This window comes from Homo sapiens, chromosome 10 (assembly GCF_000001405.40).
Source record: "Homo sapiens chromosome 10, GRCh38.p14 Primary Assembly".
Lineage (NCBI taxonomy): Eukaryota > Metazoa > Chordata > Mammalia > Primates > Hominidae > Homo > Homo sapiens.
Window position 1 is genome coordinate 114,647,714 of NC_000010.11, and position 15,929 is coordinate 114,663,642.

The 15,929-nt window shown below is 42.6% G+C and overlaps 1 protein-coding gene and 1 non-coding gene across 30 annotated transcripts in view; one reads left to right on the plus strand and one right to left on the minus strand.

The window, feature by feature from the left end:
- The window catches only part of ABLIM1 (actin binding LIM protein 1), a 370,264-nt gene that overhangs the window by 216,604 nt on the left and 137,731 nt on the right, over window positions 1-15,929 (minus strand). The window contains exon 1 of one of the 29 annotated variants that reach the window (NM_002313.7): window positions 10,244-10,562. The exons of the other annotated variants lie outside the window; for them this stretch is intronic. Within the exon in view, the coding sequence (NP_002304.3) occupies window positions 10,244-10,487 (244 nt within the window). The 5' untranslated portion in view covers window positions 10,488-10,562. Of the gene's footprint in view, window positions 1-10,243; window positions 10,563-15,929 lie in introns of those variants that run through there. 29 annotated transcript variants of the gene reach the window in all.
- On the plus strand, window positions 8,782-8,881 carry LOC124902588 (small nucleolar RNA U13). The gene has a single exon (XR_007062421.1). It is a non-coding gene; the product is annotated as a small nucleolar RNA U13 (small nucleolar RNA).

Genomic DNA, 15,929 nt, shown 5'->3' on the forward strand with positions numbered 1-15,929 from the left:
TTTCTGGGCTCTGTGAGTCATAATGTCTCTGATGTCCTCTGATTAATTTTGGTTGTTATCTATGGCCACAGAACTTGGATGAGGAAAGACTTCTAAACAGCAAACAAACAAAACTTGGGGGGCCACAGTAAGTCACTTACAGAAAGTGAATTTACAAGCCAGCTAAATGATTTCTCAAAGTAAAGGCCCTACCTTTCTTTATATAATGTTTGCAGACCTTTATGTTGTAAAGATAAAAGCAGTTTTGAAGATTAAGATATAGGATGTAAATAGAATGTACATATAGGATTTGTGTACATATGGGAAAACTGGTTATTTCACTTTGAGGGAATAGCTTTAATTTAATTTGAAATTGTATTAAGTGGTGGGAATGTAAAATGGTATAGCCACTGTAGAAAACGGTTTGACAGTTTCTCAAAAAGTTAAACAGAGAATTATCGTATGACCCAGGATTTCCACTCCTCGGTATATACCCAAGGGGACTGAAAACACGTTCACACAAAAACATGTAACAAGTGTTCATAGCAGCATTATTCATAATAGCCAGAAAGCAGGAACAACACAAATGACCATCGGCTGACGAAAAGATAAAGAAAATGTGATATATCCCTACAATGGGATACTATTCAGCCATAAGAAGGAATACGGTATTGATAAATGCTACCGCCTCGATGAGCCTTAAAAACATTATACTAAGTAAAAGAAGCTAGACACAAAAATCACAGGTTACATGATTCCAATCAGATGAAATGTCTGGAATAGGAAAACCCACAAACACCTAAAGGAGATAAGTCGTTGCCAGCAGCTGAGGAATGTGAGTCATCAGGGATGTTTTCTAACGGGCACAAGGTTTCTTTCTGGGCTGATAAAAATGCTCTGGAATTAGATAGTGGGATGGTTGCACAACTTCGTGGTTCTACTAAAATGCACAGGCTCGTAAATGTTAAAGTGGTGAATGTTATGGTGTACTACATTACATCTCCATTTTAAAATGTATGAAGTACCTTTACTTACCAAGCACTGCGTTATAGTCTGAAGAAACCACGGAAACAACTGTCCTGCCACTAAGGCACTTACTACCTGGTAGGGAGACACGCAAACAAACAGATACAAATAGCCAAGCATAGAGGTGCTTGGATGGGCATTTGTGTGGTACACAGCAGAGCCCAAAAGAGGAGAGGTCTGGAGAGACTCCACAGGAAAGTTTCACCCGAGCTGAATCTCCAACTGAACTTAAAAAAAAAAATTAATAATCCTTTGGTCTTCTCATGTAATATCAAACAGGGAGAGAGGAGAGCTAGGGTCTTAATCTAACACTACCCTCTGATTATACCATAGACCTTAGGAAAGTCATTTACTTCTCTGGACCTCAGTCTCTTACTTCCTACAAAAGTAAGGTGTTGGCTGGGCACGGTGGCTCACACCTATAACCCCAGTGCTTTGGGAGGCCGAGGCGGGCAGGTCATTTGAGGTCAGGAGTTCAAGACCAGCTTTGGCCAACATGGTGAAACCCCATCTCTACTAAAAATACAAAAATATTAGCCAGGCATGGTGGTGCATGCCTGTAATCCTAGCCACCCAGAAGGCGGAGGCACAGAGAATCGCTGGAACCCGGGAGGCAGAGGCTGCAGTGAGCCAAGATCACACCAGTGTGCTCCAGCCTGGGTGACAGAGCAAGACTCTGTCAAAATAAATAAATAAATAAATAAATAAATAAATAAATAAATAAATAAATAAATAAAGGTGTTGATATCAAAGGTTTATTTCTACCTTTGAGAAATATCTAGAATCCTCGTGCATATCATATCATAGTCTATCTAAAATCCTGACATACTTAAATCCTGATTCTGCAAAGGGTTTCTCTAGTGTATTCTGGGTGTGCTGCTTTCTGAGATTGAGAAAGGAATCTTCCTGCTGGCTACCTCTACACGCCCTAACAAACAGCACACAGACTATGCTTCCTTCCTGTTGGCAGCCTTCATCTTCCACCCCAGGGACAGAATCACCCATCTGCTGACCACGTATTCACCTTATATTACCTTCCTACTGGTAGCCTTCGTCTTGTAGTCCATAGACAAATCAAGCCTGTGCTGGCCACCTGTCCACCCCAATGAGTAACACACAATCCATATCCCCCCTCTTTTTTTTCTTTTTTTTTTTGAGACAAAGTCTCACTTTGTTGTCCAGGCTGGAGTGCAGTAGTGCTATCTCGGCTCACTGCAACCTCTGCCTCCCAGGTTCAAGCAATTTCCCAGCCTCAGCCTCCTGAGTAGCTGGGACTACAGGCGCCCACCACCATGCCAGGCTAATTTTTGTATTTTTTAGTAGAGACGGGGTTTCACTATGTTGGCCAGGCTGGTCTCGACCTCCTGACCTCGTGATTCACCCATCTCGGCCTCCCAAAGTGCTGGGATTACAGGCGTGAGCCACTGTGCCCAGCCTCCACACAATCCATATTCCCTTTCTGTTAGCAGCTTTGTCTTGTACCCATGGCCGTCACAGGTCCATGGCTGATTTGCCAAGTTAACAGGAGTCCATCCATAATAATCAGCACTGGGTCATGCCCCAGAATCATTAGGATCAAAGGATGGGAAATCAGGGATTTCTTTGAAAGTAAGCCACTCTTAGTAAGATTCAAATTTGTTTAAAGCCTGGATTAAAACAATGCCAAACAATAAACTTAAACAGACTGCTTTACCCTCTGACTTTAAATAAGATTAGTTTTTAAGTACATTTAATTAAAACGAATGGGGCATTGCAGCATATTTACTCACTCAAGGAAGTAATTTACATGGGAACATTTCATGTGAAAATAGTTACTTGCCCACATTCCTAGGACTAAAAATAAAATAAACAAAACAAAAAGCAACCATCAATAAAACAAAAAAAAAGCTGGACCAAGTAGATTCAGCCAGTGGAACTAGGTGAAAAGTGTCTTACTTCTACCTTTTTCTTTCCACTCTCAGATCATTGGGCTATTTTCCTTTTACTCGTATTTTGGGTAAATCATATCTATTTTACAGCTCAAATCGCAAATCCTACTTTCTCTTTCCCTTCAGTGATATTTCTTTCCTTTGAAAACTAATTGTATTTGTTATCTAGACAATTATTCAACTTCTCACACATTTGGGTGAGAAGAAGAGGGGGAAGTATTTATCGAGCTCCAACTAAATGCCAGCATTTCTAAAATACGTATTTTCTCTTAGGGCTCATAATACCGCTGCAATGTGGGTAGTATTATCCACATTTTATATACGAGAAAACTAAGGCTCGGACATATTAAGTCACTTGCCCAGGTCACAGAACTGCAAAGAGCAGAGCTGGACTTTGAACTTGGCAGCGAGGTCTGACCCCATAACCCTGAATTTGCAACCAGTTTGCTTTGCAGCTTCTCCTGGCCTCAGCTACTTGAAGGCAGGGGGACAATTTAATGCCGAATTGTATTCTTCGAACATAGTGATTTGATTTCTGCGAACATTCACTCATTCATTTACTCATCACTCACAGCTTTTTTTCCATGCCAGGTACTATAATGGAATAAAAATAAGAGCACAGCTCTCTCCTTGCCCTCAGAGAGGACCTCAGTGTATGAAAAGGGAGAAGCTTATAAACAGGCAACTTGAACAAAGATGTGCAGAGGATGCTATGAAAACACAGAGGAGGACGAGGCAAGAGGTAAGATCAGGCCGGCCCAGAGGAGGAAAAGCTTAACCTGCAGCCTGCTGGGCCTCAGAGAAACTGGGGAGACTGTGCCAGGCAGCAGAATTGCACATACAAAGAGAGGCCCAACGTGAAAGCATCCTTCAAACATCTGTGACAAAGAAGACTGATGCGGGTGTTTGGGGGTTAAGAGTGGGACGTGATAGAAAGGCTTAACCGTCAAGAGCTTGAAACGTATGATTCTGGGAAATATGATTAAACTAATGGAATGAGAAGCCTAGGGAATTGAAAAGGGGTTATTGGTAACTATAAATAAAAAAAAAATGCAAACTATCTAATGCTTTCCCAAATAGCTGAAACCTCAAATCCCTCTCCATTCATGCCCTTGCAAGATGTAGAAGTAACTGGCCACCACCTATCATCTCCATCCTCAGGAGAACAAAAGTTAAAGTAAGACTGCTGTTTGGGGGGAACCATATCCCATCAACAAACCGGATGAGGCCCTGGGGACCCAGCATGCTGGAGGAACAGGAGGCCACAACACAGTGTGTCTCCTTGCCAGCAGCAGATGCCGGTCACTACTTTGCCTCTCAAAGTAGCCTAGTCAAAGCCATCAGTCAGGAGAGCGGGTCTGAGGGCAGGAACCACATGCTGGTCCTTCTTACCAACTTTCCCAGGATGTATTTTTTATGGCTAGCTCAAACACTTCTCTCAAATGTAATAGAGGGCCTTCACAGCTGAGTTTCAGGGTTTGGAGAGAATTAAAACCTTTTCCCTGACACAGACTCTCAATGTTACCAGGAAGATGCTATAGAAAAGCTCCACAGCATCTTGAAGAATATGCTGTCTTTTTGACAACAAAGCCATTTGTGGCCTATGGCCTACTATACCCAAGACGCTTCCCCTAGCCCTCTGACATACAGGTCTGGGGTTGCGGATTAGTGAATGGGGTAAGAAGGGCACACTAAAAGAAAAATATTATAGTGTTATATGTTCTACTTAGTTTGAAAACAGGTTGGTATTGCTTTAAGAAACAATAATGTACCCAAGAGGTTCTCTCACTTACGTGATACCCTGAGTATCTGGGTCTTGGGAAACCATTCCGAGTGAAGACAACACCTGGTGTGCTGCATGTAACAGAAAGGTCTCAGCAGGTGCCTGAATCAGACATGAACCACCTTTCTCTCTTCTGGGATATGAACTGCTTTTCCAGGGAGGGGACTGCCAAGTCTACTTTGGTCCCTGCTCTCCAGTCCAGAACATTCTGCTTTGGGATTTGGACTCAGCTGACAACATAATCACTGAATCCTCTCCAGATATCCTTGGGGCTTTTGATAATAGTGCCAGTCTCTTGTTTGTTTGTCAAGAAGGTAATCGCCCTAAATATGTTCTTTCGTTTGTATGAGACCCAAAAGCTCCAAAGGACAGAAAGAAACACAGGTTCAAAAACTTCACTCTAATTTCCTACAGGAGAGTAAGGGAACATTCCATACAGACAGCTTGTATTTACGAGCTAGAGGAAGGAAATCTTTGCTAATTTTCCTGGCAACAGCAATATACTTTATGGGAGTCTTCAAATTTGAGTTGCTGAAGTACGTAATTAGCAATATTATTTACAAACTTTAGGTGTGCCAGTGTTCAGCGTACCTCATGAATGACCCACTCTTATGCTCCTCAGGCTGAGGCAGAGTGACATCATGGTTGAGACCACGAACCTGGGTGTCAGGCAGACCTAAGCCCAAATCTAGTACTTATGTGACCTTTGGCAGGTCTCTTAACTGCATATGCCCCAGTTTCCTTCTCTGTAAAATGAGATAAAAGTAATTCCTGCTTTGTTGAGTCATTGAGAATATCAAACATGGAAAAATCATGAAACACTTGGCACAGGCGAGGTATGGTGGCTTGCGCCTGTAATCTCAACACTTTGGGAAGCCAAAGCAGGAGGACTGTTGGAGGTCAGGAGTTTTAAACCAGCCTGGGCAACAAAGTGAGACCCTGTCTCTAAAAAAAAAATCAAAGAATTAGCCAGGCCTGGTAGCATGCGCCTGTGGTTCCAGCTACATGGGAGGCTGAGGCAAGAAGATCACTTGAGCTCAAGAGGTGAAGGCTGAAGTGAGCCCTGTTCTCACCACTGCACTCCAGCCTCAGAGACAGAGGGAGGCCCTGTCTCAGAAACAAAACCAAACAAAAAAAGACACTTATCACAATGTTTGAGATATAGTAGGCCCTCAATGAATGACAGCCGTTCTTCAAGAACAGTACTACATCTACAGTCAGAAGCTGCAGAGGCTGTTTCGTACGTTTACTGATCTATTTCATTGATATATGCTCACTGATATATTTTTGCAGAAGCTATTTTGTATATTCACAGATCTATTTCACTGATATATGCCCACTGATATATTTTTGCGGAAGCTATTTTGTATGTTCACTGATATATTTGTTTTGCCCACTTTTCCCATCTTCTTGCTAACTCATTGCTGTTGTTAAGTGGGGGAAAACAATTTCTTCCCTTGCAACATCCAAGGGTTGTTTTGAGCTTTACAAAGGACACATATGCATGGGGACACTTGGAAAATCATGGAGTCCAGCACAACTCAAAGCAGGGATTGAGCACCAGACAATAACAGGAAGCTGCAGCATCGTGAGATCTTTCTGGCAGCTGGAGGAGGCCTTTGCCAAATATTCCCAAGCACCCTGCCAGGAGCTGCTCCTGAACACTCTGGGGCTTCGTAGCACAGGAACATGCATGGCTGCAGGAGGGCGCACTTCCTCCAAGCACCTGTCCTAAACAGGATGCTCTGAACACACAGTGGCTTTCTGGGAATCCCACGTCCTGTGCAGCATCTATAGTTCTGGGCCTCTATTGTTTCACAGCATGGAAGGCAAACAATAGAAATTATTTTTAACAATAATAAACAATTTTTTCTTATTTTATTATTTTAATTCAGCCTCCATAGAGACTGTCAAAAATGACTAATGCTGACTATATTGCAATTCTATTATTATTACTGAAATTAACATTTAGTGGATGCTTTTGTGTGCCACTATACCAAACACTTTGATATGCACGTTCTCATTCTTTAAATTTATTTTTATCTTTTTTTACAATTTTTAAAATTGAGATAGGGTCTTGCAAGTTTGCCCAGGCTGGTCTTGAACTCCTAGGCCCAAGTGATCCTCCTGCCTCAGCCTCTCAAGTAGCTGGTACTATAGGCCCACACCACCATGCCCAGCCAGGTTCTCATTTAGTTCTCATAATCAATACTGCCCTTAGACACACGCAAGCAGGGCCCCTGCCCTAACCCCATTCCTTCCTCAAAAATGTCTAAGTGCGCTCTGGTACCTGGGATCGCTGGGGCCAGCAGTGCTGTCTGGATGGGGAATCTGAGCCTCCTCTTCACAGATCTCTCTAGTGATCCTCTGCATCTCTCCCATACTGTGCAAGGGGTTGGCCAGATGCCCCAAGGAGCCCCAGGAGTCATGCCAATGGGTTTCTTGGGGCCCTGGAGCTGGCTCCATTCTAGGGGACAAGCCTAGCAAGCAATCACTTCCTCAGGCTGGTGTGGCATTTCTTTCCCAAGACTGAAACAGATTGAGCTGTTGACACACTGCTTTGGGTGACTCAAATTGTTTATATAGACAGGAGCCCTACAAAAAAAATCTGCCCAGGGCCCCATCTACTCTAGGGATAGGCCTGCTCAAAGCAATCCTATAAGGTATGCATTCCCTGCCTACCTTAGGGACAGAGAAACGCACTTGGAATCACTAACTTCCCAAAGTAACACATTTAGTGAGTAGAAGAGCTGGGAGTCAAATTCTGGAATGTCCAACCTCAAAGCCACACTTAACTAATCTCCCAGATTTCCTTATCTGCCTCCACTAAGATATGGATATCCCAATGATGATTACCTTTCCTGTATCCAGAACTCTCTCGGATACTGTTAATTCTCTTGTTCCCAAGTGAGGGAATCTGCTGATAAGTCATTATCCAGCATGCTTTCATTAAACTACAGCTTACCTGGCTTCCCCTTGCCTTCCTGCCTTCTCCTCCCAACAGATCTTATCTCTTTCAAGAGCAACAGTGGCTCATTCCAAAAATATCTGATTTGAGTCTGTTTGAGTAGAAACATTCCATAGAAGCATCGAAGTCATTCAGAATAAAGTGTTAGCTCCAGCAGAAATCTACATGTTTCATTTTTATTCCTATTTGTGGAATAAAACATTTTTTCCTCAATAAAGGGATTCTAGGTATCCCCTAGTATGTGGATCTGATTTTTGAGGGAGGTGTCATTTGCTACAATAGGCATACTCAGCTGGTTCTGAACAAAGTCTTCTTAGCAGAGCTTGTAAGGGGACTGGGCAGAAGGCATGGCTTCTTCATCCCCGCTCCCTGCTCCCCTAAAAAGGAATGTGCCTGGAATCATGAAGAGAAGACTGTTAAGAGTAAGAGACAAGGAGCTGTTACCATCAGCAGCTGTCGAAGTCGGTATCCTGTCTTGCCTGAGCACTGATCTGCTTGTCAGCCCTCTCTGTCCCAGCCAAAGCTCTGTATAGGCACAGTGAGATACCGCTTCACACCCACTAGGATGGCTAGAATAAAAAAGTCAGATAAGGCCGGGCGCGGTGGCTCATGCCTATAATCCCACCACTTTGGGAGGTGGAGGCAGGCAGGTCACCTGAGGTCAGGAGTTCCAGACCAGCCTGGCCAACATGGTGAAACCCCATCTCTACTAAAAATACAAAATTAGCCAGGTGTGGTGGCACATGCCGGTAATCCAAACTACTTGGGAGGCTGAGGCAGGAGAATCATTTGAACTCAGGAGGCAGAGGTTGCAGTGAGCCGAGATCACGCCATTACACTCTAGCCTGGGCAACAAAGCAAAACTCCGTCTCAAAAAAAAAAAAAAAAAAAAAAAGGCAGATAATAGCAAGTGTTAGCAAGGATGTGGAGAAACTGGGACCTTAATATGCTGCTGGTGGGAATGTAAAATGGAGTAACTGCTTTGTGAAATAATCTAGAAGTCCTTCAGAAGGTTAGACATAGTTATTATATGACCCAGAAATTCCACACCTAGGTATACACCCAAGAGCCCTGAACATATCATATGTCCACATAAAAACCTGTATATGATGATCCTTTTGATGTGTTCACACACGCGTGTGTGAGGTGAGCCACCCTCGAACCTTGTTATGACATTGGCACATTACCCATCTGACACGAAAAAAGAAAAAAAAACCTTGTATATGGATATGCATAGAGGCATTATTCATAAAATCCAAAAGTTGGAAACATCCCAAATGTCCATCAGCTGGTGTAAGCAGAAACAAATTGTGGAATATCTATACGGTGAAATAGTATTTGGCCATAACAAGGAATAAAGTACTGACACGTGCTACAACATGGGTAAACCCTGAAAACATGCTAAGTGAAAGAAGCCATAAACGAAAGACCACAGATTATAAATTCCATTCACATGAAATATCCAGAATAGGGAAATCTAAGAGGCAGAAAGTAGATTTTGATTTCTTAAGGCTGAGAGATGGGGATGAAGAGGTTGGGGTGGGGAGGCGATAGCTAAAGGGTACAGGGTTTCTTTTTGAGGCAATGAAAATATATATGTAACATATCAGTTGCATACTAAAACTCGCTGAACTATAGACTTTAAATGGATGAATTTTACAGCATATGAATTATAACTCAATAAAGCTGTTGAAAGCTGATTGCAACAAAACAGAACATCTTAACTCCAGTACTTCAGCTAAACTGAATCCAATTCAACTCTGGCTGTCCAAGAATGACGAGGAATGCGTTATGCTTCCTGGCTTATTTGACTTAACTTCATACATTCGTAGGGACCATGGTTAATTGCCTTCTGCTTCCTGTACCAATTCTAGGTCTGACTTTGACAAGGTGTGAGCAGTTGGGTAGGTATCATCTTCATTAACAAAGGCACCATGATAACTTCAAAGTCTGAAAACTCCCAAGTGCAATAACTCTATCCTCAGAGTGGGCCTTCTCCACCTCTTTCCCAGGCAGAGGGATGAGTGACACGTTTTAATGAGCTTCACTGAAAAGAAGCCTCAACAAGTTCTCTCAATATTAAAACACTTTCTTTTTATTTTATTTCTTTTTTAGAACATTTCACAAGACGAGCCCTCCCTACACAGTGACACAATTTGGACCTCAACTTTACTTATCTTTTGCTAGCCTCCATCTCCCCCCTTGAATATTTCCTTTCCATTCATCCTTTGTCATATGAAATAATAACATCTACAGATAGAGATCTTTCTTTTCCATCATACTTCCTATTACTGACAATTATTCATACCAAGTTTGGAAAGAGATACATTTGTTACTGAAGATCATAAAATCCTGGACAAAAATATCCTTGGGATTTAGCTCCGTAGCTACACTTATGTTACATTCTCCATCTCTCCCACCCTCACCCCCATTAATTATATATTAAGGATAGTGTTTCCTTTGAAGAACACATTACAGAAGAATGATCTGGATAGTACTCTCTTAATTACGCCAATCACAAAACACAAAACCATGTCCAGAGAGGGTTATTTTACTTACCAAAAGGATCAACGCTGTTACATACACGCCCACGTGGGCAGTAGTCCTTGGGACAGAGATACAGCAAATGAGTGATAGTGGCACGCCTATGAGCGGTGAAGGAGGTCCCAGAGACCCTCCGGTCCTCAACAATCAGTCTCTTTCTGTTCGAGCCCCTGGCACTGGTTCTCTCAGATGAGGTGACTTTGCTTTTCTCAGAGCTGCACAATTTCCCCAGACACTTTAGACCAAGGAAGGCAGGCATCTTGGCATGGATTTCCAAGCAATGAGAAATGGGGAGTGGGGACCCAAGGAGCGGTGCTGCCCCACAATTCTCTCTGTTCCCCTGGCTCCTTACTGTCTCCTTTTCTCACTGCCCAGCAAAGAAGATTAAGGGAGATGTATTTAAGTGATTACCCTCAAGAGCTTAGGGCACCATATTCTCAGTCAGATGACTAGGTATAAAAACAGCCACTACCAGGAACTCGAGACTTTCAGTCTCAGACATGAATGCATATTTGAAAATCAGATTAATATCCAGAATAAGAGAAAGAATATAACTGCAATATCTAAAAGAATTCTCCTGCAAATACTCCTAGAATATTCAGTATCATCTGGTAAGAGTACTGAGAATAGGGCTAGGGATATATACACATATTTTATATAATCTAAAAATGTCTATCAGAAAAATCCCAGGGTAATAATTCCAAGTTTTCCAGTATTTCAGATCTCACAGGTGGAGGTGGGGAAGGCTCGATAAAGATCCTCAGCTTCAATTCGTGACAAATCCAGCTCTCAGCCATAGTAAACGATCATTTCCTTTCCATTTTCTAGAAGGGGACCCCTCCCCTCAGTACCAGGAAAATCCTTCTGCCTCATTCCATTAAGCCAATGTTTACTGTCGTAATGTTTCATGGGTTTTCTGTGATGGCAGAATCATATGATGGAGACAGAATTAACATGTAGGTAGCTTCAGCTTTACACAAAGTTACAAGCTAGAAGGACCTTCATGGAATTAGTGTATTGATATAAAAAGGACAACCCCAGTAATTATCATTTACTCTTTAACATCCACACAGTAAGATGCAGTACAAAATGTGACCGTCTACAACCATACAAAAGTCCCAAGTCAAAATGAATAAACTCACACTCCTTCTCCTGTCATTGGGCTATTATGTTCTAATATAAATTCCTTTTCATTAAAACCCTAGAATAGAATTATAGAGCTGACAAGGCCATCAAAGGTAATCTAGTCCAGTAGTTCCCAAATATTGCTGTGCATAAGAACCATCTGCAGGTGCGGTTGCTCACGTCTGTAATCCTAGCACTTTGGGAGGCTGAGGTGGGAGGATTGCTTGAGGCCACTTCGAGACCAGCCCTGGCAACATAGCAAGACTCTGTCTCTACAGAAAAAAAAAAAAAAATTAAAACATTGGCCAAGTGTGGTGTCATGCATCTGTAGTCCCAGCTACTCGGGAGGCTGAGGCAGGAGGATTGGTTGAGTCCAGGAGTTTGAGGTTACAGTGAGCTATGATTGTGCCACTGTACTCCTAGGTGACCGGGCAAGACTCTGTCTCAAAACAAAAAATCTGTAGAACTTTTGAAAAATACAAAATATATATATACGGGATTCTTGCACGTAAAGGTCAGGAACTTACATTTCTTTTCTTTTTTTATACTTTAAGTTCTAGGATACATGTGCACAATGTGCAGGTACATATGCATACATGTGCCATGTTGGTGTGCTGCACCCATTAACTCATCATTTACATTTCTAAACATTCTCCCAGACTAGTGCCAGCACTCAGGAAGCACTGATCTACGCCAGCCTTTAAGATGAGGAAGGTGAGTCTCAGAGAAGATGTGACTTTCTCAGGACAATGCAGAGAGCCTAGGGTGGAGCCGGGTCTTCTGCCTCCCATGCTGACTCTTCCTATCCAATAGTCGGGTCCTTCCACAAAGGCCCCAGGCAGATGAAGCAGAGAAAGGAAATTCTTGCTTCTTTTGTTACAAGTTCCTAATCTATTGGCAACACAATTCAAGAACCTGAGAATTCCAATTTGCTAGAATTATTCTATGCCAATGTGAAGCACGGTGGGAATGGAAGAAACAGACGCTGTCTAGAGGCACTCAGACTGAGGTGGACTTGGGGAAAGTGGGAACATGGGACTTCTACCACTACTGAAGTCACACCTCAAAATTTCTGCTCCAAAATTCTGGGAATTAAGCCCAACACCAACCTCCAAAGTCTTCCTCTAAAAACAGTTTACAAAGCAGGTCAAACAATCTGTATGTGTTCTTTTCCCTGTTTGCCTATTTTGAGGAACCTTCAGATATACAATGTAAGATGTTCTATCAATGTTTCTCAAAATGAGGGTAAGGGATAAAAGACTAAACATTAGGTGCAGTGTACACTGCTAGGGTGATGGGTGCACCAAAATCTCAGAAAGCACCACTACAGAACTTACCCATGTCATCAAACATCACCTGATCCCTCCAAAACTATTGAAATTTAAAAAAAGAAAAGAAAAGAAATACAACTGGAAAAAAAAAAAGTGGCATTCATCCATCAAAAAAAAAACCGTATTTCCCAAAATGTGATTTCTGGGCCAATTTGTTTAAGATGGAGATCCCCGAGGGCCACCTCAGCCCTACCAGGTTCTTCTAGAGTGTTTTGTAATAAACATCGTAGTGTGGGAACCCCTGCCTTTCATTGTTAATTCTTTCTTGCTGGGTTTCCTGGAGCTCTGCTCTTTGCAAACTGAGAACCTGAGCAGCTACTTGCTTATATGTGCTTACATGGTCTTTTTGTGAAATATAGATGTGTTTATATAGAGGAACATGATACAGCCACTTTGAAGGCAGGCTCTGGAACACAGTAACAATGCACAAACACAGACTTTGGACAGAAAAGAGACTATTTCCTTCAAACCCAGCATCTTCCTGACCTGGAAAAAAGGTAACTCTTCCATAACAAAGCTGTTCGGCTTTCTTGGTCCCTAAACTCATCAAGCATTGCCCACAAAAACTATTTCCACTGCATTAACTCTACCTCAGTGCTTAGCCATTGTAGCTGCAGAGCATGCACAGAACACTCCTAAATTTTTTTTTTTACAAGTTTACAGATCCATATATTTAGTTCAAGATGCAACTGTCTTCTAAGAGACTGCGAAAAGGAAAAGAAAATAAATTCTTATTCAATAACGGAATTATACGTAAGAATTTTGATACTTTTTTAGGTCAAGATGCAAAGCAAACTACATATGGATCATGAAGACGGCTAATGAGAAAAACAAATGGTTGCTTGCTTTTAAAGACAACCGAACTACATATAAATGTGAGGGGGCTGACTCCATTCTCAGGCAGTGGAGAGGGATGAGAGTTCAGATGCTGGCAGCAGTGACTGCAGACACCTGTGAACTAAGTTCCACTCCCCAAGTGCTCAGAGCTTTTCACTTACCCTCCTCCACATGGCTCCAGTTAAATACCTAGCAGAGGCCAAGCCTCCAGTCTTAAAAATAGACTTGCAGTGGTATCTGCCTGACAGCAACCTCTTCACCCAGGAAAGCACAGTTGGGGAAGACCCTAAAGAAGCACCAGTGGATTCAGGTCTTTCACTGCTGCCTTCTGCCACAGCCCACATAAAACTACAGTCACAGCAATCACAAAGGAGTGCAGTGGGTTTTGTGACCGTTTCTATGGTTCTATGATATGATATCACAATGCACCACATTACAAAGCTAATGATAATTACAAATGTTGAACTTCTGCCCAAGATTTTGCTGGCCTGTGTATCTTATCAGATAGGAAATTCCTAATCTTTCTAGAAGCAGTTCCACTGTACCTACTCAAGCTCTTCTATGATAGACTATGAAAATGAACCATCAGTGGGAAAATTCACCAAGGGGCACTGAGGACACCCAGCCTTTGCATGCTGTAGGAGCTCAATAAACACCTGATGTGATGAGCCCCAGCCCAAAGCCAGGTGTTTTGGGGCTACACAGTGCTCGGCGAACAGATGCCTCAATTACTGCTCTTTCTTCATCAGTCACAGTGATTCTCCACAAATGAACATGGACTTTATTCTATATAGTGATTTAAGTCTTTTTTCTCAGACAAGTATCCCCTCCCTGCTTAAATCATCTGCTAGGATCTACTTGCTTCTCACTAAAGAATAAAATTTTCTCAGAGAGCAAATTGCCACCTTACGATGCCAATATTTCTGGAATTTAGTTTGCTAAGGAAATGTTCTGCAGTTAGCCTGTGGCCTCATCAGTGATAATGGGGTTACTTTTCATTTTTGTTGTTGTTTTTTAATCAAAATGAAAGAACAAAAAGAGCTCAGCATGCCTTCCAAAAACACCTGCAGTTGCTCACAAGTCAGGATGATCTTTGCTGCTAAACAGAACAGATTCAGTGGGAAGGCTGTGAAAAAGGGGTGCAATTGGACTTCCAGACAGTGACGACTCGGCCCATTTGAGGTTCTCCTGCTCAGCAGCGGCTATCCCTGCTCCCTGCTCCCCGTAAGTCCTAAAGTTCAGTCCTTCTGCATGGTCAGCCCTGGGCATCTTCTCTGCAAAGCCCAATGTTTAAAGGGTCTTACCCATCCCTCCAAAGCAGGCTGTGATTTTCTGAGCATACTGGCATATGCTCCGGTCTGGGCAGGTCTCCTCTGAAAGGCCTGCTTCCTCCATCCCTCTGCATGCAGCTGCTTCTCTTCCCGTAATGCCACTTGCCCAAGACCTGCTCAAAATGGAACAAGCAGCCAAACACCCTCTTCCATATCTTCTCCATTAATAATTCAGATACTACATAAAATCTGCTGAGCATTCAGGATTGAGAGCACCATGGCACTCTGAGGACTGAAGCGTAATTAGTTTAACAGGCACCAAGTGTCTCAAATTACTCTCTGACAATACACTGCATAGGCAACGTTCCCAAAGAGGAATGAGAGGCAGGCTTGGAATGACTTCAAGGAAGCAGCCACAGATGAAGATCAGCTCAGAGTGGGGTCACAGGCACCCCCTGAGCTCAAACTCCATATGTTAGACAAGACTCTCCCATGAATCTCCTCCGTAGAATCAGAGCACTAAGTTGCTGCCCACACATCACAATCCACCAGGCTGCAGTCTTTGTCAGCGGCCAAACCTTCTCTATGCCCTCAACACATCTCTTCATCCTTCCCCTGCTTCTTTTGCTTTTCCTGAAATTCCTCAACCTCCTTCCCATTGGAACTTTCTGAAAATCCACCTGTGCTTAAAAATGCAGCTCAAACATTACCTCCTCCATACAGGCTTCCAGAATCACTCTGGCTAGAATCAATTTCTTCCTATCTTGTCCCCAGATAGCAGCTCTCCCATGGTATTTGTAATCCTGCCTTGCAATAAGGTTATCTATAGACTGTCTTATTTCCCCTGCCAGCTGCTAAGCTGCTGGAGTGCAGGAGCCTTGCCTTTGTCACCCTGTTTCCTTTACATGAGGCTCTGTACATACTTGGTGCTCAATGCCTTGTAAATAACATTTGGTAATTCTCTATAAGTCACTGTGAAAAGAGTAGCCAATACTTGAAAAGGCAGATATCAAAGACAAAACACACTCTGGCCATTATTAATGCTCTGCTAGGAGAGGAAAATGTTCACATTCTATACCATGGTGTCTAAGAACTTCTATACCACATATACAGCTGCAAGATATAATTATCATTCCT